The sequence below is a fragment of the Homo sapiens genome, chromosome 11, assembly GCF_000001405.40.
Source record: "Homo sapiens chromosome 11, GRCh38.p14 Primary Assembly".
Classification (NCBI taxonomy): Eukaryota; Metazoa; Chordata; class Mammalia; order Primates; family Hominidae; genus Homo; species Homo sapiens.
Genome location: NC_000011.10, coordinates 116,107,664 through 116,130,122, shown reverse-complemented (window position 1 = coordinate 116,130,122; position 22,459 = coordinate 116,107,664). Strand labels below are relative to the sequence as shown.

Sequence of the window (22,459 nt, the reverse complement as noted above, 5' to 3'; positions counted from 1 at the left end):
AGTAAGGCAGCAGAATTAGAATAAATAGACCGTCCTCTCCTTTTCTCTCCCCGAGTGTAACAGGCTCTGGGCCAGAAACTCTCAAACCAATTGATAATAACAAGCTCAAGTTCAATGCCATTGGCTGTCTGGTGAGACCTCCCTGGCTTTTCTTGTCTCTGCTCTTCGGTTTGTATTTCTTTATTTATTCATTTTAATAGTAGCATCATATAAATAAAACACCATTACAAAAATGTCGCAGAAAGTTCAAAACTATTCATTATCCATTTCATACAGATTAAAATTGCCATCAAGGCTGTTTGGATTTGACTTGCGTTCTTTTCCTTCTAATGAGCCGGATAGAGAAGGCAAAAGATGCTAATTCATCCTTACATCTCTATCATATCTTGGCTTTTACTATATAAAGCATCAAGGTCGCATTCTGGGGAAATGTCTTTTTACCAAAGGTGCTATAATAATAATGAAGAAGCAATTTGTTTCAGCAAACTGCCTGCAGTAATGAGGCTTAATTATAACCATGTTATTAATACCGCTGCTTAAGGTAATTCACTTCTGAGCAGGGTGCAGAACAGTAAACTATAATTTAAACAAGAATCGAGACCTAATTTAAATCATCGGATCTACTGCGGAAAAAGGCAAACAGAACGACTATATTCTGCACGTGATTTAGAGCTTCGCCTCGGTGCCATTTCCGGGAGACCTAGGTGACTATCAGAGGGGCAGGGAACTGGGATCGGGGTCTGGGTCCTTCCACTCTTTCAGGAGGCTTGGTATGTGATGCATTTGCTGGACCTGTATCCAGGTGCCTTTTGCTTCTTGAACTTCATCCCCATATAGGTAGAGGAGGCTGAGGGGCCAGGAGGAAGGTCCTCTTCATCTCAAGGACATCTCCAATGTGCTCTTGCACCCATTTAAATTCCCCCACTAATACCCAGGCCAGACAGGGTGAATGCCTCACCTAAGAACACACAGTTGGCTGCCAGGTGTGAACCAACATCTTCTGCTCCCTACACCAGTGCTTTTGCAGCAATATCAGCATCAACTAGTGGTCTAAATGTCACTAGGCTACTCTAACATGGCACCCAGGACATCTAACCCAACAATTCCCAGACCTGGTTGTTCCTCAGAATTTCCTGAGATGCTTGGTAGAAAATATAAGTCTGTGGGTCTTACCCCACCACCTAGATACTGATTTTTCTTTTAGTCTGGCTTTGGGCTTGGGGATCCATGTGTTTATCAAGAACCCTGGTTTTCCAGATGCAGCTGGTCTAAGGGACCAGGCATATATTTCATTCATCTGCCCAGCAGCACCAGTACATTTAAAATATACACAAAAGTGTGTGTGTGTGTGTTGTGTTTTCTTGATTACCTCCTCTGAATTACATTTATTCATTCATCTATTCAACATTTGTAGGGTACCAATTATGTGCAAACCACAGTTTATGCACATCAGCTCTTCCTATTCTACTATGCTTTAATCCCTGCTGCTGGAGTTTCAGTGAATTTTCCTCTTCTTAATGCAGAACTATATTCCACGTTTGTCTAAATGAAAAGAAACAGGAAATTGAGAACAGTCTTAAGTAGTGGTAGATTTTATTAAAGACCATGTCTAGCTCCATGTTTTATACCAATGCTCCATGCATGTTCATTATTACCAAGGTAAAGAGCTGTCCTTTCTAAGAGTCTTCATCAATGCTAGCTAACTAAGGCCTAAGAATTCCTTGGGCAGTCAAGGCTAAGTTAATGAGGCAGTTATGAATACTCTGTCACTGAGAATTTACAAAGGAAGGAGAAATTTCTGGAGTGGGGGCAATGAAGACACTATTTCCAGCTTTAACTCCATGATAAATCATAGGGGCCTCTGCACCCAGGCAATCGTCTTTGACTGATTATCTAATTCCTGCCTATCCATCCTCCATCCAACCAGCCAATCAGCCAATCTCTTCCATTGTTCTAACTCAAGCCACTGTCCTTGGAGGTAGGAGGATGCAGGGCATGGTGAGCTGTGAAATGAAGACAGAAGCCAGTAGCCTGAAACCCAGAGCTCACCAAGAAGTCACATACCTTTAAAGACTGTGGTCTGCCTTCAGAACATGGAACTCCTCATACTTCTCACTCTCAGCTCTTTCAAGCCCCATGCACAGAGGCAGGTACAAAGCAAAGCTAAATGTGGAACCAATTGCATTCAAATTGGACATATTCTCTGAGGCAATGCTCCCCAGCAACCTTTCTCCTAAGTTCTGGAGAACTTTTTAAAAAGGTTCGCTGTTTTGTGAAATGTTACGTGGGAAGGTATGACTTCAAATGGGTCAAAGACAATAGAAATTCTCCTATATTTTAAAGGAGGTAAAGGCCTTACTTTGTCCTAAGGTCAGCCTCCTCCCCAAACCAACCCCCTCAGGCCTGCCTCAGTTTACCTGCAGTATCACCCACACACATTTCTTTGTCTCTGCTTGGGAAACCTGCCATCCCTCTCCTCCCTCTGCTCCCTCTGTTTTTTGTTTCTCTCTCACTTTTGTTCTTTTTTAAGACAACTCTACCCTCCTGGGTTTCCTCACTGGCACAGGAGCTCTGCAGAGCCAAATGACACCAAATGATGTCTCCAGCTGATGGTAATGATTGGGCTCTGGCTGAACCGCAAAAATAAGGCATAGAGCTGCAAGGCAGAGCCCAGACAGCACTGTACTGGAAGCCATGCTCTCTCTCTCTCTCTCTCTCTCTCTCTCTCTCTCACACACACACACACACACACAGTGCATGCCACACATTTACATGCATGCACATACGCATGCACACGTACAAATTCACAAACAGACATTGATGCTGGTTTGTGTGTACAAAGACATATACCCATGTGTTAATATATACAGACGCAGACATAACTTCATGCAGCAACGACCCTTCCTTTCCCCTTAATTAACCCCTCCTTCCTTCCCAAAGTGCTGGATTTACCCCACCAGTTATGTGGGCAGGTGTCTGGGGATATAGTCCATTTCAATCCTGGAGACACAGTGAACCCATCCAGATAAAAATGTCTGAAGAGTAGCTGATGGCAGTGGAGTGAGGGAGGAGCAGGAAGGCATGGTGTCTGCAGCATTTCCCTTAGTCGGGGGAAATAAAACCCCCCTCTGCCAGTGTTCCATTTCCTTGCAACCTCCCGCAGGCTGTTTCATCTCATATTGTGTGAGCTCTGAGGGGGTGTCCAATTTGAGGAACAATAACTATAAAGTCATTTTCAGTGCCCTGCTGTGGCACAGTGTCTGACTGACCTGGCTAAACACTACGCTAGCTCTGCAGAGCTGCCGCTCACTGTGGGCCTTGCATATAGCCATCCCCCCAGTCCCCCAAGTCCCCCCAGTCCCCAATCCCATGTCACTGGGGCCCAGACTCAAGTCCCTCAGAACCTTTAGTTGTGACTTGAGAATTTCATAGGAAGACCAGGGTGGGCTCACCCTGCACAAGTTACTAAGAGGGCCAGGCAGCGGGTGGTGGGACAATCTGGGGTGGATGGGAGAAGGTACTTAGAGAAGCCCCTTCTCATAGCTTGAGTCTGGAGGCTGACTGTCCTACAGAAACCGATGACTTTTTGCTAGGAACTTCAGGGTGGCATTTAAAAACTCTGGAAATTGGAATCCCTTTTAAAAAGTCATGCTGAATAGTGTCACCTTCACAGATCAATTGGCCCATCAGCTGGTCTTAAGATAAAATCGCCCCTCCCCGGGACAGAGTTCCTAGGAGGGTCTCTGCTCTTTGAAAGGACCACTCAGCCTTCCTTGGTCACTATTCTCATAAAGAAATATATCTGTTTCATCTTATACTTTTCAAAGCACTCTCACATCCATTAGCCCATTAATTGATTAATTCATTGTACACGTTTGTTGAACACACGAGGCACTTCAAATCTTTTTAGAACAAGGCAGGATCTAGATAAATATATGCATACATATTGAATATCCACAAAGTGAAATTTGCTCTGATGGGCACTGCAGGGAGTGAGGAGGGTTTTATAGAGATAAAGGAAGCATAGCCTACCAAGAGAGTCCCCTCTTCAGATCTGTAAGTCAGAGGCACATCTACTATGCTGATTTCCCAGCCGTGTAAACCAAGGGCCAGAGAGGTTAAAGGACTGCTTATGGTCTCAAAATGAGAGGTGGATCTAGAATGCACCTCCTGATTCAAATTGGATATGCTGTTTATGCTTTCTCTCTTTTTTGCTTTCCAGAAAGTTCCAAGTTCTGATCTCCCCTTCCCTACCTCTTTTCTTGACGTCTCTGGAACAAGCTATCTGAAAGGAGAAATAGTCACATCACAATTTTTTTTTTCTGGGCTCATGTGAATATTGTTTCAGGGACAAGAAGAAAAAAAAATTTGTCTTCTCTATTTCCTTAAGAAGGTCAGCAAGATGGAACAGTTGCATTTCATATGCAGCCTCTCGAAGGACATTCATTTTCTCCAGCAGAGCCCCAGGGTGGACAAGGAGGGCCAGCTGTGTGCAGCGTCTGTTGTGTACAGCATTCAGGACAATGTCCTCTTGGATCCCGAGCTCTCCACACAGACAGAGCAGATAAAGGAAGGTCCCTCTCCTGGTCTTCCTTCCAGGGAGGCTGTTGCTGAGAGAGGTTAAGGGACCTCCCAGAGTCCTCCTCAGGTGGGAGCGGAAGGTTGGCATTGCTGACCTCCCATAAGCTTTTACCTGAACTTGGGCTCTGCCTGTCTTTGTTCTGAGGTAAGATGGTGTGTGTGCGCGTGTGTGCATGTGTGTGTTTGGAGGATGTATGAGGCAAGTTCAAGGTTAAAGGCAGGAAGCACTATAGCTATTTTATCTCTGTACATGTCATCTTGTCAAAAAATTCTGAGACTCTTCAAGTCCCAGGACCCTCACAAGTGAGGGCGCAATGTCAACCCACCAGCAGCTTGACTAGCCATGGGAATGGGAATGGAGTTGCCTGGGCAGCTGAGTGAGGTGCTGGCCTCCGGTGCCCATGCCGGCTTGCCTGTGCCCAGGGGTGGAGCCTGGCTGTCAGGAGGGCTGCTGTGGGGCAGGCCTGGCACCTCAGGGGCATCCTCTGTCAGCTGCTTGCTCAGGTCCTAGGGACAGAATGTCTTGGCCTCCTGTTCCTTGGAGTAGAGGGCAAGTTCTTGGTTGCAAACAAGAGGAACTGGTTCTGGGTGGAATAAATGAAAAGAAAATTTGTAGAGGGCTATCAGGGCCAAGGGATGTTCAGATGGTCTGCGAGAGTAAAAGACAGGGAGGACAATTATTGATTTTTAGCAGATGTCTGGCCAGGACATCACCCCTCTGTTACATGGGGATGTCCCGCTTCTCCCAGCTATTCCCTATGGCCCCTGCTACTGGACACCATTTCCCTGTGTTCTCATCTCCAGGGCCAAGGGTCCTTGAGTGCCATTGTCTCTGTCTTTTACCCACCCAGAACCAGAGGCCCACGTGGGAGCAGGGGATGGATTGGGCCCAGCCCACATACCAGGGCTGGGGCATGGTAGGGTCTGCTTTTTTTTTTAGGGGAGTTTGGACAGGGAAACAGGCATATGTTCATCAGAGGAATGCTGAAGAATCTGGCACACCTTTTGTGGGGGGAATTAATCAGAGTAACAAGGCTTAATAATGTTGTTCAAATAACAGGTTTTTTCCCCTTTTTTCCTTCCGGAATATGATGGACAGATGGCAGATGGAGAATGAATGGGCTTAAATTATTGCAGGAGGGTGGAGAGAAGATGTGTGAAGGAGTTTCCTGATGGTGGTGGGTGGGCTCTGGGCCCCAGGGTGCGGTGACTCTGCAGCTGGTAGGCCCTCCCTGTGAAGAGCAAAGGGGATCTCCCCAGTGACTCCTTTTCCTGTTGCTTCTCCTTGGAGGCCTGGAGACCCCTTAACTCTAGGAGGATTGGGGCAGCATCCTCTCCTGAGATATATGGAGGGGCATAATAATGGGAGCAGGTAGTAGAGGCTGAGCCTGGGGCTCTTGATCTGGGATTGTGCAAGAAGACACTAATGGGGCCTTTCACTATTACCCCTAAGGAATGAGACTGCAAAGAAGCTCCCGATCTGAAAAGGTGGCATTTGCTAAGTTAGAAAATGGAAGTACCACCCAGTCTGGGGGATCCCATAGGCACCCAAGAGTGCACCAAGCCACTAGGACCAAGCTCACCTGAGAGTCCCACCCTGCTCGGAATATGCAGACTTGGTGTCCTGTCGCTTTAAAGCACTCCATGCCTGGAAATGCCACGGCCCACATGGAATGGGCACAGCCAACAACTCTCCAAGGAGCCCCAGCAATGAATGATGAGCATCTCCCCTGAACCCATCTCCCCATGTCCGGTGTTTAAAGTGAATTGAAATGAATATCTGATAAATGAATAAACCTGTAAATGGAATCAAAAACCTTATGAACTTGAAGGAGAAATAGGAGTCCCAGGTCTGTTAAGTCTAAATTGAATAAATCTGATCAACTGCCTGACAATTTCTGCCAACAGCTTTTGAAGAGGAAGAAAAGGGGTGAGCAGAGAAATTGGGTAGAGGAGAGGGAAGAGCGAGTGGGGTAGGGGAGGCAGGCATGACTCAGTAATGAAGCTATCACCAGGAGTCCCCAGTGTTCCTTACCTGGACTAATAAATGGATGACAATAGGAGTTCCTTGCAAGTCTGTCTGCTCCTGTGTGTCTGCCCAGAGGACACCTCTAGAGAATGAGAGATTTGCATAAAATGGGGCCAAAGTCTCCTTTTGGGCCTTGCTGGACAAGGAGCTGAGGAAGAACTCTGGAGTCCTGGAATCAGCTACTGGGCCTAGATGATCTCACCTGCTAGGATGGGTCTGTATGTTTGGGTAGCTTGAGCTGGAGGCAGGGAGGTCACATTGAGGATGCGCTCAATGGCTCTCGATTTGGCCTCTGCCACTCTTTGTTCTGTTGGGTAACTTACTTCCTGCAGTGGTTTTAAACATGGCCACAGACTTCTTTAACACTCATCTTAGTGAGAGGTGGTGGTGGTGGATCTGTGTCTTCTTCTCTTGAATCTAGGTGGCTTTGTGACTCCACTAATACAGAACAGTGGCATTGATGCTGTCTGACTTTCCAGGCTGGGCTGGAAAAGGTTGTGCAACTTCTGCCTGAGTTTCTTGGGACACTGTCATTGGGGGAAAACAGCCCCTATGTAGGAAATCCAATTGCCCTGAGAGTGCCATGCTGGAGAGGTGTTCCTGTTCAAGGCCATGCCCCACTGAGCTCCCGGCCAGTGGCCAGGCTGGCCGTGGGGAATGAACCCCGTGAGCCACTCAGTCTCGCCCAGCCTTCAGATGACTGCAGTTCCAGCCCATGTGTGACTGCAGCAGCTAAGTCACAGCTGCCTCGTCAAACTCTCCCCAAATTTTTGACCTGCAAAAGTACAAACGCTATAAAATTATTGTTTTAAGCTACTAATTCAGGAGTAATTTGTTAATAGCAACCAAAACACACCCCTTCTTGGGTTTCAATTTTTTTTCTGAACCATGAAGGGTTAGACTAGATAATTTTTAAAACCATACTTTGAAAGTTTTAAATAGTAGATGAACTTTTTTCAATTGTTTTTATTGTAGTAAAATATACATAAAATTTACCATCTTAAACATTTTTAAGTGTACGGTTCAGTGGTATTAAATATATTCACAATGTTGTGTAACCATCATCACCATCCATCTCCGTAACTCATTTCGTCCTGCAAAACTGAAACTCTGTACACATTAAACAATAACTCCGTCTTCCCCTTTCTCCTCCAGCCCCTGACATCCACCATTCTACTTTCTGCCTCTATGATTTAGACTACTCTAGGTATCTCACATAAGTGGAATCATACAATGTTTGCCTTTTGGGCCTGGTTTATTTCACTCAGCATAATGTTTTCATGGTTCATCCAGGTTGTAGTATGTACCAGGATTTCTTTCCTTTTTAAGACTGGATAATATTTCATTGTATGTATATACAACATTTTGCTTATCCATTCATTTGTTGATAGACACTTTTGTTTTTGCCATGTTTTAGCTATTGTGCATTAATGCTGGTGTGAACAGGAGTGTACAAATGGAAAGAACCTGCTTCCAATTATGTCAAATAGATACCCAGAAGTGGAATTGCTGATTTACATGGTAATTTTATTTTTAATTTTTTGAGAAACCACCACACCGTTTTTCACAGTGGCTGTCCCATTTTTGCATTCCTGCCACCAGTGTACAAGGATTCCAGTTCCCCACACCCTCATCAACACTTGTTATATATATATTTTTACAATAGCCATGATAATGGATATGAAGAGGTGTCCCATTGTTGCTTTGATTCACATTTCTCTAATGATTAGTGATGCTGGACATCTTTTCAAAGCATGTTTTTTTTAAAAAAGGAGTTCAAACATCATAAAAGGATAACAGAAATTAAACAGTTTTCTTCCCTACTCCTGAGTTCTTCTCACCACTGAGAGGTAACTAACTTTAACATATGACTGATTCTTCCAGAAATGCTTGTTGTGATTACAACATAATTATATCTTTATAAAATTACACATAGAATTATATCATAGTTAATTTTTGTAATTTCCTTTTTTTCCACTTACTGATACAGATTGGAGATATTTCCATACCAGTATACATAGGTCTACTTCATTCTTAATATCTGCATAATTCCATGGCATGGCTTGGTCAACGTTTACTTCTCTAGTCACTGTTGATGGGTATTTCAGTTGCTTCTAGGTTGTTTGGTTGGTATTTTTTGCTACTGTAATAATACTGCATTGACTATTATTGTATACTTGTTTATGCTTTTGTAGGTCAAATTCCTAGAAGTACAGTTTCTGGGTCAAAGGATATGCATTGACAATTTTGATAATTATTGCCAAATTTGTCTTTTAAAGAGGTGGCACATATTTATACCACCACAATGAGGAAGCTAGTATCCTGCTACCTTTATTATCTTTCAGGTTTTGTCATCTGCTGGAAGAAAATAATATTCTGTTTTCAAGTTTTCATTTCTTTAATTGTGAAGTTGAGCATTTTTATATGCACTTTGATGATTTTTTATACAAAATTTCAATCATGCAAAAGTAGAGAGACTATATCATGAACTCCCATAAGTAGATCACCCCAAGTCAACTGTCATTATGGGTTTACCACTTGTTTCAAGATTGATGATTTTTAATTTCTATTTTTCATTGAATAGCTAATTTATATCCTTTGCCAATTCTATAGGGCTGTTCATATTTTGTTTTTTTTTAAATGGTTTGTCGGAGCTTTTCTTATCATAACAAATTAACTTTTTGCCATTATATGTTACAAATATTTTTCCTATTAAACTTGTGTTTTGATATTATTAAAGGTCTTTTTGTACAGAAGCAATTTTACTTTTTATATCAAATTTATCAATCTTTTAAAAAGATTTGTAGTTTTGTGTTTTCAATGATCTTCTCTACTCCAGGAATATAAAATAAAATAATAAAATAAATCATCTGTATTTTCTTTCAGGATGTCATTTTTACATTAAAATCGTTGATGTATTTGGATTTTATTTTTGGTATAAGGAGTGAGATAGAGATCTAATTTTACTTTTTACATATGGTTACACTACTGCTATCCAGTAGAAATACAATGTGAGCCACGTATATAATTTTATATTTTCTATTAGCTGCATTAAAAAAGTAAAAAGCAGGCAGAAGTAATTATAAGATATATTATTTAACCCACTATATGCAAAATATCATGTCAACACGTTATCTAGCTACAAATTATTAATGAGCTATTTTACATTTTTTCATACCAACTCTTCAAAATAGAGTGTATATTTTGGACTGGTGGCATTTCAAGTGCACAGGAGGCACTTATGGCTAGTGGTTGCTGTACTAGACAGCACAGAATTAGACAATTCCCCCAAATAATGCTGATCAAGTCCTTCTTTTTCTCCATTGATTTGAAAAGACACCTCTATCATAGGCTGAATTATGTTTTATATTTAGGCCTATTTCTGGTTTCTATTTTTTCCGTTGAGCTATCTCTCCCTTCCCACGCCAATAATGGACTATTTTAACTATGATGGTTTTAAACTATTTTTAATACCCTGTAGAGCAGTTTCTTTCTCTTATTTTTGTTTAGGGTTTCTGTGGCTCTTCCAGTTTAGTCCTTTCTCTAGATAGACATTAATATCTAATATTACATATTATCTAATACTATAATCTAGATACTACACTATACTATAGATACTATCTATACTATAGTCTATATTCTAAACTATAGTATGATATATGATACTATAATATAGATATTAATATTTATTAGTATCTATACTCTCTACTATACTAATTAGTATATACTATTAGTATTTACTATACTAATAGTATATACTATTAGTATTTACTATGCTAATATTTATTAGTATCTATATTATAGTATCATATATCATACTATAGTATAGTATGTACATGATAGTATAGATAGTAAAACAACCAACCAACCAACATAGAAGCAACTGAAATAATATTAGGCATTAATATTCAAAAATATATAAGTTTGAACAGCAAACAAGCTATATTATGAGTATTGATATGGGGATTGCAATGAATTTGGGGCCCAGGTGATTAATAAGGGTCCGTCCACTCTAAATCTCAGTAGCTCCACTTTGCTGCCAGCAGATGGAATGTGGGGGCTGGAAACAGTCCCATCCTGTGTGACTAGTGTGGTGGGCTCGTCTGTGCTGTGTGTGGCACATGTGTCACCGCCAACCACAAGACCTTCCGGCAGGTCCTGGATCCCATGCGCATGGTGTGAGATGTGTGTTTAAGAACTATCCGGTGGTGATAGTTTAGAAAGTCCGACACTAGAATTGTTTTGGCGCTGCCTGGGAAGAGGAATTTCGGCTGTTCTCTAGAGAGAGTTGTCTTGGAAGATGAAAAACCGAGGAGATGTGGGGTAGGGAAGAAAAAAGGAGTGACCGCCTAAGATGGGAGGAGAAGGAGTGGATAGGTGAGAAAAATCAGGGAGAAGGGAAGGAAAGGGGGAAGATAAAGGAAGAAAGATTGGAAGGAGAGGGAGGAAAGGGGGTGGGAAGAGAGGTAGAGGGTGCAGGGGAGGTTTTCAGTAGAACAGTAGGCTGGAAGAGATGAGGGTCAGGGGGGACCCTAGGAAGGAAGAGAGAGCGCTCACTGGAGAGAAAAATGCTAAGGCTCAGGAGAACCCTGACAGGCAGGCTAGGGAGGTCTAGAGTTCTCAGCACCGGCATGTCTTTTCAAGGCAGCCTCATGGCCATGATGGATCAGTCAACAATAGGAAGGAGAACTCTGATCTACAGGAGGCTGCAGTGTCCCTAAGAGACAGAGTTAATGGTATGGGGCAGCGTGAGCACAGGAATGATTGTCAGAATCCATTGTGCCTGGGGAGCTGGGCTAGGAGCCCAGAGCAAAGACTGGCAATTCCCAGCTTTCAACAATGTCCGTGGCTGGGGTATAGAGATTCTTCTTTACCCTGGAGACTTGACTGTCCTGGGTGTGAGGGAAATAAGGATGAGGGATGGTGAAGTTGCATGAACACTGAGGAATAAGAGAGGAAGGACTCATCCAAGACACTGGGTCCCTAGATGCCACTTGAGGCAAGTGTCTTAGTGGTTGAAGGCACTGGGCTTCTTTCAGGAGGAGGGGAATGGCTTCACCCTCAAATAACCCTCTTGACTTTCAGGGTTACCTCTCTTGTTGTGACCCTCACACCAAAGCGGGGAGTAAGGAAGGACAGGCAGATTATCTGCCTATGGCACCCAGGGAAGCTGAGGCCCAGAGGCACAATCCCACTTGTTCATGGCCACCCAGGGGGCTGGTGGCAGGCCCTCTCCCATCCTGGCTGAATGCCCTTGCCAGGTATTTTCTTGTCCCCGCTCTGTCTGGAGAAGTAGAAAAAGGAATGTCAGGCGTTGACTCAAGAGCCACTGGATTTTCAAGGAGTCAGAGGGTCACAGTGAGTCGGAAAGAAAAGGGGAAAAAAACCCCCACCTTCACAGCTGCCAGGATGTGCAGCCTGTCTCCCTAGACTGCTTGCTCCTCATCACAACGGCGACAAAACGCTATTTTCCTTTCAGTGGTGTGCACAGGTGCCAATCCAAATGAATATTATTCACACACTTCTGTCCAAACACTGTGAAGTCTTCAAAGGTTGATTAAACCTCTGACATTGTTGCTTTACTTCCCCTGCACTCCCCGCCAGGTGAAGACCTCCCTCCTGTGACCTCACCCCTCCTCCTTCCCTGTGCTTCTCCACACAGCCTGCCTTCCCACACAGGAATCCAGGTATCCTAGGAGAGGGTATGTCCAGTCTCCTTGGGAGGGGAAAGTGGAATGGTGGGGAGCCCGGCTTGGACTTTGGTTTGCTGAGGACTCAGGGAACAGGGCAGAGTGAAGTCACCTTGCGTGTGATGGGGGCCAGTGGCAGGGGCACTTAGGGGTGGGAAAAGTGAGGGATTTGACTTTGATTACCCAGCAAAAATCCATTTCCTGCTAGTAATGGCTGGCTGGTGCATATTGGAAATCACAGCCTCCCTGCTCTACTCTCCCCGCATCATTAGTCCCCAGTGGAGCGATGTCTCATTGGAAATCACACCTGGTGAAATGAGGCATGATGTGAAACTCTACGGACCCGCCTTCCCTGGGTAGCCTAATGGTGGCAACTCGGAGGCGCCCAACACTGGCCAGAGTCCCTTGATAAGCCAGGAGATTCAGTCATGCTGGGGCATTTTTCAGCTTTCCTTCATCTTATCTGTCATCAGGCAGGCTGTGTACAAAATCTTAAAGCAGTCTGTACCACCTGCAGTGCTTCACATAGTGTCTGGTGTCCAGAAGCACCCCACAGTTAAGCTAGCACAGGAGAATGACAGATTCAAAGATTGAGGAGCCCAATGGTCATGGAGTCTAAGTAGTATTTGTTTTGTTTGCCCCAGCATCCATTTCCCTTTCTTTTGGTAATAGCATCCATTTCCCTTTCTTTTGGTAACAGCATCCCAAGTTTCCTTGAAGAACCACCCCTTTTCCATTCCAGTCCAGAGGTTTGGGTGGGATTCTCTGCATCCTCTGCCCCACCCTCAGGGATGGGCATGTGACCAAACCCTGGCCATTCAGCATTTGACCGTAGGGACTGATGGAAGACTGCTATGGAAAGCCAAGTGCAATGCTGGGACTACTGATGGGAAAGAGGTGTGCTTTTCACCTGGAACTGCTAAGGTGATTAGATGTAAGCCTAGGGTTACAGGGGATGATCTTGCCACCACACGAAGTGACCACATCAGTGGCTAATAAAGAGGAAAGAAAGTGGAGACACATATACAATCACATGATTTACAACAAATGCTCCACCACCGTTCAGGAGAGGAAGAGTTGCACTTTTTAATTGATGGTGTGGGTTAATTGGATATTCATGCAGAAAAAAAAATGAACCTTGACCTCTATCTGACATCATTTCCAAAAATTAATGCATGAAGGATCATAGATCTAAATGTGAAAGCTAAAACAATTAAATTTCTAGAAGAAAACAAGAGAGAACATATTCATGACTTTGGAGTCATCTGAGTTTTCTTCAATAGGATATACATGAATATGTACACGCACAACAGTAAACACAAAATAAATGTTAAGTTGGACTTTAGTCAATTAAGGGCTTCTTTTCATAAAACTACACCATTAAGAGAGAGAAGAAGCAAGCTACAGATTAGGACAAGATATTTTTAACTCATGTATCAGACAAAGCACTGTAATATTCAGAATATATGAAGAACTCGTAGAAATCAGTAAGCAAAAGACATAAAGTCCAATTTAAAAATGCTAATGGGAGTGTAAATAGTGATCACTGCTTCAGAAAACTATTTGAAAGTTCCACAAAGGCTAAACATACATAGGCTCTGTTTTTCAGCAACTCTGGTCCTAGGTACCCAATAGAAATGAGTGCTTTTTTTGACCCAAAGACATGCACATAGCAACTTTGCTCACAAGAGCCAAAATTGAAAACAGTCTATGTGTTTATGAACAATAATTTGTGGTATATGCATATAATGGAATAGTACTCAGCAATGAAAAGAACGAACTTCTGAGGCATACATTGCACAATCATGATTTTGACTGTGCAAAGTCAGTCATACAAGAATACCTTCTTATGATCCCATTTATATGAAACCAGTGATAGGAAAGACTAAACAATGGTGACAGGAATTAGCACAGTGCCTACCCTTAAGGAATTGTTGTTTATGGTAAGGCAAAGAGAAACCTTATGGGATGTTGGAAATTCTGTAGCTTGATCTGGGTAGTAATTTTTTTGTGTAGAAATTCATTGAAATGTACACTTAAGGTCTGTACATTTTACTGTATGTAAGTTATGCTCCAATTTTAAAAAAGGATAGTGGAGAGAGGGAAGGTGATTGATCTTGGGAATATATCATCTGAGCACCTGCATCCAGCCATACCTGAAGACAAACACTCCTGGACCCTTTAAGAGATTCCTTAAGAGCCAATTAGTTCTCCTCTCTTTTTTTTGTATGAATCAGCTTGTGCTGAGTTTTCTCTCACTTGCTGGTAAAGTTGTCCTCAAAACTACCATCTCCCTGCTTCTAGGCCAGAGTTTTCCTCCTTTAGCCTGAGCAGGTGGAGGAAGTCCTATACTTAACGGGACACAAGGGAACCAAGTTCCTCAGTCTGTTTCTGGTCCTACTAGCACAGGCCATCAGGCAGGAGTCCAACATCTTTGTTTCTCAGTTTCCTCATTTGTAAAATGAAGCTGACAGCAGCAACTTCTTCATTCAGTTGGTCAGTTCCCTTGTGGAGTCTCAGATACCTTTGATCATAGCCTCTGGTCCTCATTTGATTGATGTTTGTGTTATGACTGCCATGGGGACAGGGATTGTTTCTGTTTTTCTCACCACCATATCTCTAGTGTCAAGGCCACCAGGAGGGTATGTAGGGTCCTGGGCACATTTTTTCCCCTGCCGTGGGGCCTCTGTCTATATAAGCAATTTGAGTGAGGAAGCCAGCACCATCCTAGTGCCAATATTTCATGGGACCACATGGAAGAAATACTGTCAGTCAGAGGGAGCAATGTGCTCACCAGTCCAGTCTCCTAGAATTGCTTCAGAGCATCTGGTCAGCCGTGTGTGTTGGGGGATGGGGAGGGGAGGGGGGGAGGGGTGGGAAGAAACAGGAACAGGGCTCACATAGGGCTCAGGAGTCCCTACCTGGTCAGCACTGGCAGCATCAATAGGTACCAGGCACCAGAGAAGGGCCTGGAAAATTATCAGGAATGTGCTTCAAAGCATGAAGCCCTGAGGTGAGGGTCCCTTTCGCCCAAGTCTAAGGCTCAGACTGCCTGGCCTGTGTAGTATCTGGCACCTCAGAAGTACTCAATTCATGTCTGTTTGGAGGAATGAGTAAATGAAAGGTTTCACCAGGGTTATATAACACACAGTAAGTGGTCAATGATGTAGGGTAGTTGTGTTACTATTCCTGAGAGGCAGGAACCCTCCTTGCTCCCATAACCCCCAGAGCAAAGGAGTTGGGCAGTAGGGTCTTGTGACCGTGGCTTGAGTGCGTCAGCATCTCACAGGGTCAGGTTTGGGAATAGTCCCCATTGTGGTCTTGTCATAGAGGACAGATTCCCAAGGAGGAACAAAGGGGCCTGAAAATCAGGCCAGGGAGAAAAAGACCATTTTGGGGTTATTTAGCGCTTATTAATTGGTCACCTCGTTAGCAGCCCATCTGCAGTCTGACTCCAGCAAGTGAGTGGGTGAAAGGGAGGGGGTGCCCTGACCAAAACTGGCTTCACAGATTCAATAATAAGGACAGAGCAATTACCGGAACTTCTAGAGCCAATTCCCGTTAGGAGCATGCCAGGCCGGGCTTTGTCCTACGGAGAAGAGGAAAAGGTCAGTGTGCTCTGTAGGAGGAGAAAAAAAGAGCCCTTCACAGGGAAAGAGCCTGCCTGAGGGAGGGAGACAAAGAAAAGGAGGGCTCTGTGGAGGTGAAAAACTAAAGAAAGAATGACATTTGGAAGTTCCTCAGAATGAGGAGAGGAGAATAATAAAATAAAAATTACAAGGGAGAAGGCGCCAGTGGACAAACAAGGAGAGGCCAAGGGAAAGAGCGCTGGAGGATCACTACTGCCCTGGAAAGCAGCTGGTGGAGGTGGCCTGGCAGGGGCTGGTAACCAAGCCAATCACGACCTGCTTGGCCTCAGTTTCTCCATCTGTAAATCGAGGGGCCATCTAGACTGGTACCCACTGGACCTCTGGTCCTATCCTGTGCAGGTGTGTGGAGGAGAGGAAGGTGAGGCTCAAAGGCACTACTAGGAAAGCTAATTTGCTCCAGCCCCTTGGACATGGTCTGGGGCATAAATAGTGCTGCTTCCCAAATGTTCCCCAATGTGTCCCAGCCCCCTCACACTAAGGTGGAGCCATGGGACTAGGTCTGGTCCATGAGCAGCTCATGTCATTTCTAGGCTGAAGCATAGAAGAGCCAACAAATGGCCCTCCAGCTGTCTCCTCTCGGCCATAGCAAATTCCAAAGCCTGGATCCCTGAGTGACCAAGTGGAGCAGAGGCCTCCGCTGACCTATATGGGACATGTATCATTAATGGAAACACACCTTTGCTGTTTGTAAGACACTGAGATTTGGGCTTGTTCTGAAGAGAAACAGGTGAGGGTCATGAGCCACCCTATTTGCAGAGGACCAGTAGCTGAAGTGTGGACTTGAGGAGTGGAGGTCAAAGGCTGGACCATGTGTCTGAAACAAGCATGGTCTCCCCAGAGCCTGGCTGTCTGTGCAGTTACTGGGAGTCCCTCTGCCTCCCTGACATCTACCCAGAATTGTTGGACAAACCCCATTCACTGAGATGAAAGGATGTCTCTCTCTTTCATTGACTGGAAACTGAGGAACTGAAAGAGACACAGCCATCTTTGTGAGATCTGCTTGTGGATCAGCCTTCTGGGCCTGAGCCCATGGGATGGGGGAAGAGCGGAGTCTTTCCAAATCCAGGCATAAGTCACATCTAAGGACCTTTCTTTCATAGTGTGTGGTCTGCTCAACCAGAGCTAGACCTGAAGGGTATATATGGAAACCATAAAACCAGCATTCTCCTTTCCTCAGTGCTTCAGAACGTCATGGGCTGGGGGTCCTTGATTGGGTGCAATGATTTTCTCTGCACATCTTGGCCACCCCAGGAAGCCCAAGTGCAAGATTAGGCTTCCACGTACTCACTCTCCACTCCCCTGGGAAGAAGCAAGACATCAACAACAGTAAACTCAGGGCCTGTTCAGACAGGCACCGGCTTTATTCTTTGTGGGGAGGAAATTTCTCCTACCTCCCCTCTGACTTTGTTTCACAAGCCATTTGTCATTGCTTCCCAGGGGACTATGAATGGAAGTGAGTGGGTGTGGGGGATGGGACGGCATTTCTGCAGGACAACAGGAGCAGTGAGTGCAGTGTGGAGCCCAGCACACTCTCTTCTTCACCCTAGCCTTCCTGCTGGCATTGCCATATCCCTCCCTCTGCTTCTTTCCCAACCAAGTCTGTTCCCGGGCTCTGAGCATGGATCCAGGATCCTTTGCTTCTTTTTTGCCTCACTCCCCTCCACCCTCATCACCCACAGCAGTGGGTATTCATTATTTAAGCAACCCATGCCTCTGAAGTCTTATTTATCCAACATCTTTCCACAGCATATGTCAAAATCTACGGTAAGAGCATTCATCCCATAATAAACATTTGGCTTTGCTGGTCTACCAGCGGCAGGGCTAATTAGGGAGAGGGATTCCCTTGTTATCCGAAGGGAGGTCAGATACAGCAATTAGCATCGTTGCACAGCTTTAATTGTGACTTGGAGGCTAGGCCCTTTGGTGCCAGGTGGGGTGGAGAAATTGGCAGGGAGGAAAGGGGAGCCTTCCCCGGCAAGTTCTGGGAAGCCACAGCTATGCTATGAAAGGCAGCTCAACTAGTTGGTTTCCTGGACTCCTAAGCCTCTGTATGCAGTCTGAGCTCCCTGCAGGCTTTTCATCTTCCAAGCAGGGCCCGATCATGAGAATATTCTCCCACCGACCTCTATCTCCCCAGCCATCTCTGTGAGCATTCAAGAGGACGCTTCCACTTGAAAATCCTGTCATTGCCTCAAACTCAAAATATCCAAACTAAATGGACACATCCAAGAATGAGCACCATAGGATTTGAGAAGAAGCTTAAAGATCATCGGGTTCATCATTCACCTCTTCTTCTGGATGTCTCTAGGTCAGGCAGTTGTTCAGCTTTGGTGGGTCACTCTCCGGACCCCTTTCCCTGGGGAGGGAAGAGATAAGTGCTCTGGTTTGGGTTTGGATTCTCTAGGAGCAAGGGCTGGCCATGGGCCTGGCTAGGCTGATTGCTGGATACTGGGTGTGCCATCCCACAATGCAATGCAAACTTGAAGGCAGAGAGGTCCAAGAGGCAGGTGCAAGGAAATAGGCAGAGAGCCAGGGTCAGCTCCGAAGCAGAAGGGGATAAGATGGAACAGACAGGAACAATGGGGGTCAAGAAGACTGCCATTCAGGGGTCCCCAAAACCACTCTTAGCTTTAGTAATTCACTAGAAGTACTCGTGGAATTCAGCAAAACTGTTAGACTCACAGCTACAGTTCATTAGCAAAAGGTTACAGGTGAAAATCAGCAATGGAAAAAGGTGCAGAGGCATAGTCCAGTAGAGCTCCAGGTGTGGGCTTCCATTGTCCTCTCCCAGTGGAGTCAGCAGACAGCTCCTAATTCCCTCAGAAATGATGTTGACAACACACACAAAGCATTGCCAACCAGGGAAGCTCACCTGAGCCTTGGTGTCTAGTTTTTATCAGGGGTTGCTCATGTAGGCATGGAGCTCCTGCATGGCTTACCTCAGTCTCCTGCCCCTCCAGAGGTCAATCTGAGACTGAGACCAGGGACCTCAGGTAAAAACAAAGGTGCTCTTACTGGGCAGATATTCCAAGGGCTGAGAGGCTAACTCTCAGGAGCTGGGCAAGGGCCGAACTTCTCTGTGGAAGGTGAATCCCTACATTCCCTGGGAAGCTATCAGAAGGAGGAGGCAAGGCCCTATTGGAATAGCAGGCTCCAAGTGGCACAGAGGTCTAGGCCTGCCCCTGAAGCAACCCCCTGCCTCTCCACCCCCATTGCCTTGAGGATGGGTCAAAGACACACCAGCATCAAGTCCAGAGGAGTGTTTCTCCACCTGGGAATGGGCTGGTCTCTGAAGAGGAAGTCTGAGGGAGGAGGCTGTTTACAATGTGAGAGCAACACAACACCAGGGTGAGGAGTGAGAGGATGAGGTCATGAAGCCATCAGATATGCACTCCCAGGGTCTGAACTTTGTTGTTGAGGGGCAGCAATTACAGTGAGGTCCTGGAATCATTTGGGGTTTAAAGCTTGTATTCTGCACTTACCAGCTTTGTCGCTTGGGGCATGTTACAAAGCCTCCTGGAGACTCATTTTTTCCACCTGTAGAAAGGGGATGGTAATAGTTCCTGTGTAACCAGGCTGCAGTGAGGGTTGCATAAGGTGAACATGAGATAAATGGCAGCTATCTTTATCCTCACTGTGAATACCTTTCCATGAAGCCAAGTGCTTCTTGAGATATTCTTGGCCTCTGTAGAGTTCTTTCTCATGTTGAGATGAAACCTGCTTTTATATTGCTTTCTGTTACAGTGTTCTGGCTCTCCTTCCTGATCTTCCATTTCTGTCAGTGGTATCACCATTTTTGTTCTCCAGGACCACCAGTTATTTATTCATTCATTTATTCCTTCACTTATTCATTCAATATATGTTTATTGATATTTTTTGTCTATCGATATTGGTATCGTGCTAAATGCTGGGTATAGAAGAGAAAATAAGATATTCCTAACTAACTCTCGAAGGACTCATGGTTGAGATAGCAAACAACTGCATAAAATAAGCAGTTAAAATGTTTTGGTTGGTAAATGCATTGAGTGCTTGGGGCATAAACGAAGCAGTGATCTGTTTTATCTCTTCCTTCCCCTCCCTAAGGCACCTTCACACTTGCCTTTATTCCCCCCATGAGATAACTTCCAAATTCTCTTTCTTTTTTATTCTTGTTGCTATGGGTTCAAGAATTGTAAATAAATTGATTCTCAGGTTGGAACTCACAATAACTGCTAGTGATATCCTAGAGGATTCCAAGGCTGCGTTTTGGCCAGTGAGACCAGATAAGACGGTCTATCAGAAAAGAATTAGAAAGCTGTGATCATGGAGGAATACATTCTGGTGTCCTATAGCATTGTAGAATGACTATAATTAACAATAATACATAGTTCCAAATAGCTAGGAGGAGGATATTAAATGATCCCAACACAAATAAATGTTAAATGTCTGAGATGATGATATGCTAAGTACCCTGATCTGATCACTATACATCATGTGTATTGAAACATTGTTGTGTATCCCATGAATATGTACAATTATTGTCAATTAAAAAAACAAAATTAAAGAAAAAAAGCTGTAATCATGATATAATTCAGCCTTCTGCCATTTGTGCACACCCAAGGCTCAGATTAGGCAGACACCCTGGCTACATGCAAGCCCCGTAAAGTGCTACCCACTTGCATGCCCCTACTCCCTGTCAAGCACCACCCCTACCTCATGACTCACCACCTCAGCTCAAGCACACCCCATGACTCACAGTGCTCTCTCCCTTCCTGGAATAATGCCCATCGCAGGACTCGCTGCCTTATGTCTGCTGTGATGTCTTCATTTTGGATAATATTGTCCTTGGGTGGGACTTACCTGTTTTATATCATTGGTGTCTCTTTTGCCCATTCCCACCCCCAGCCTAGTATAGGTCTGGGCTCCTGACGGGTGCTGACCGATTGATAGACAGCTATTCCATGTGATTGTGAAGGGCCTCTGGCTCCACAACACCTTCCATGTTGGAGATGCCTTGGCTACATTGCCTCCAGATAAGCCACTTGCCTTAGTATCTCTGAAGGGACAATATGATGTTAAGAAGCAAATGCCTACTCTCCACCTCTCCGTTGCTTGCACTCAGCCCTTTGTTGCTGCAACGTCTCTCTGCTACTTCCCTCCACACAACCCAAGACAAAATGTCCAAGTGGATCTGGGAGCACTCCTAGCCTGCATGGTGCTTACTCTGTAAAGGCTGCCTTCACAGAGATGACAGCTCAGAAAAGAGTGGGGAGGGAAGTCTGGGGGCTCCTGCAGGGAGATGGGAACTCCGTGGAGAAGCCAATGTTCCACATATGTGACTTTCCATAATGCAAACATAGGAGGATGGGAAGGTTTCCTGGGACAGGGTGGTGCAGCCCATGGGGAGCTGATCCTGGTGGGAGGGGCTGTGGCTCTCCACTCCTTATGAAAGTGGGAAGGGATGAAGATGACCGGGAGGGCCTAGCTATTAAAATCTGGAACTAAGGTGCTCAGAACAGTGACAAAGTGAATCCAAAAGTTTTGGAAGCTATCCTTCAGCAAATGTTTACTAAGCAGGCTTCAAGGAGGCATAAGATAACTGCTGTTAAAAATCATCCATGCATGCATCCATCATTCATTTCTTCAATAACATGTTCTGCACAGCTACCATGAGCCAAGAATGGCGTTAGGCACCAGTGCCACAAAGAGAAATACCATACAGTCCTTGTTGTGGAGGCTGGAGGGTCCATCAGGGATTCTGAAGCACAGGAGACAGGCAGGGGAGGAAGGAATGAACTTGGAGAGATTAACTGGAAGCAGGCAACCAAGTGCTTGGAATAGCAAGCTGGAGAATGTGGTCTTAGTCACAGCTGGGGAGTATCAGGGCATTTAAGTGAGGGAAGGAAGGGTGTGTTTAGGAAGGCTGTGGTGGTAACAGCATGGTGGATCGCTTGCAAGGGAGCAAGCTGAACTCAGGAAAGTCAACAAGAAGAGAGGAGGAATCCAAAAGACTTTTGCAGTGAGAATTTATTTGAGGAATATATACAAAGCTATCAACAAGAAACTGAGCACTGAAGGAAACCACTTGGTTTCAGGATGGTATGGAAGCAAGACAAACTAGCAAGGAAGAATTGTGACCCCAAATGCCAGATGGAAGGAGGAGGAAATGCACTCACCTACTGTGAAAATTCACTTACATTGAGACGCAGGAGAGAAAAGTGCTACTAACACCAGCTCTGAGGTCAGATAGAAAATAATTTGACACTAATTGTGCAGATTTGACACACCAGTTGACCTCTCTGAGACTCAGTTTCTTTGTCTTTAAAATGGGCTCAAACTGTTTTGAGGATGAAATGAAGTCGTGTGTGTAACACTTAGCATAATGCCTAGACTGAAGCAAGTTCTCAATAAAAGTCAGTTGTATTTATTGTTAGGAATTAGCTGAAAACAACAACATTTATTGTTACGGAGTGTCCTTTTTCTCAGAAGGCTGGGGAAGGAAAAGGGGAGTAGAGGGCACTGTAAACAGC

General features: G+C 44.7%; 1 long non-coding RNA gene across 2 annotated transcripts; it reads left to right on the top strand.

Moving 5' to 3' along the window:
* The first annotated feature begins 510 nt into the window (after positions 1–510).
* Positions 511–6,655, top strand: LOC107984393 (uncharacterized). 2 transcript variants are annotated; one of them, XR_001748402.2, is made up of 3 exons: positions 511–704; positions 4,223–4,726; positions 6,035–6,655. It is a non-coding gene; the product is annotated as an uncharacterized LOC107984393 (long non-coding RNA). The 2 variants fall into 2 exon arrangements; XR_007062897.1 differs by lacking the exon at positions 511–704 and having other exon boundaries at positions 3,576–4,726.
* The last annotated feature ends 15,804 nt before the right edge of the window (positions 6,656–22,459 follow it).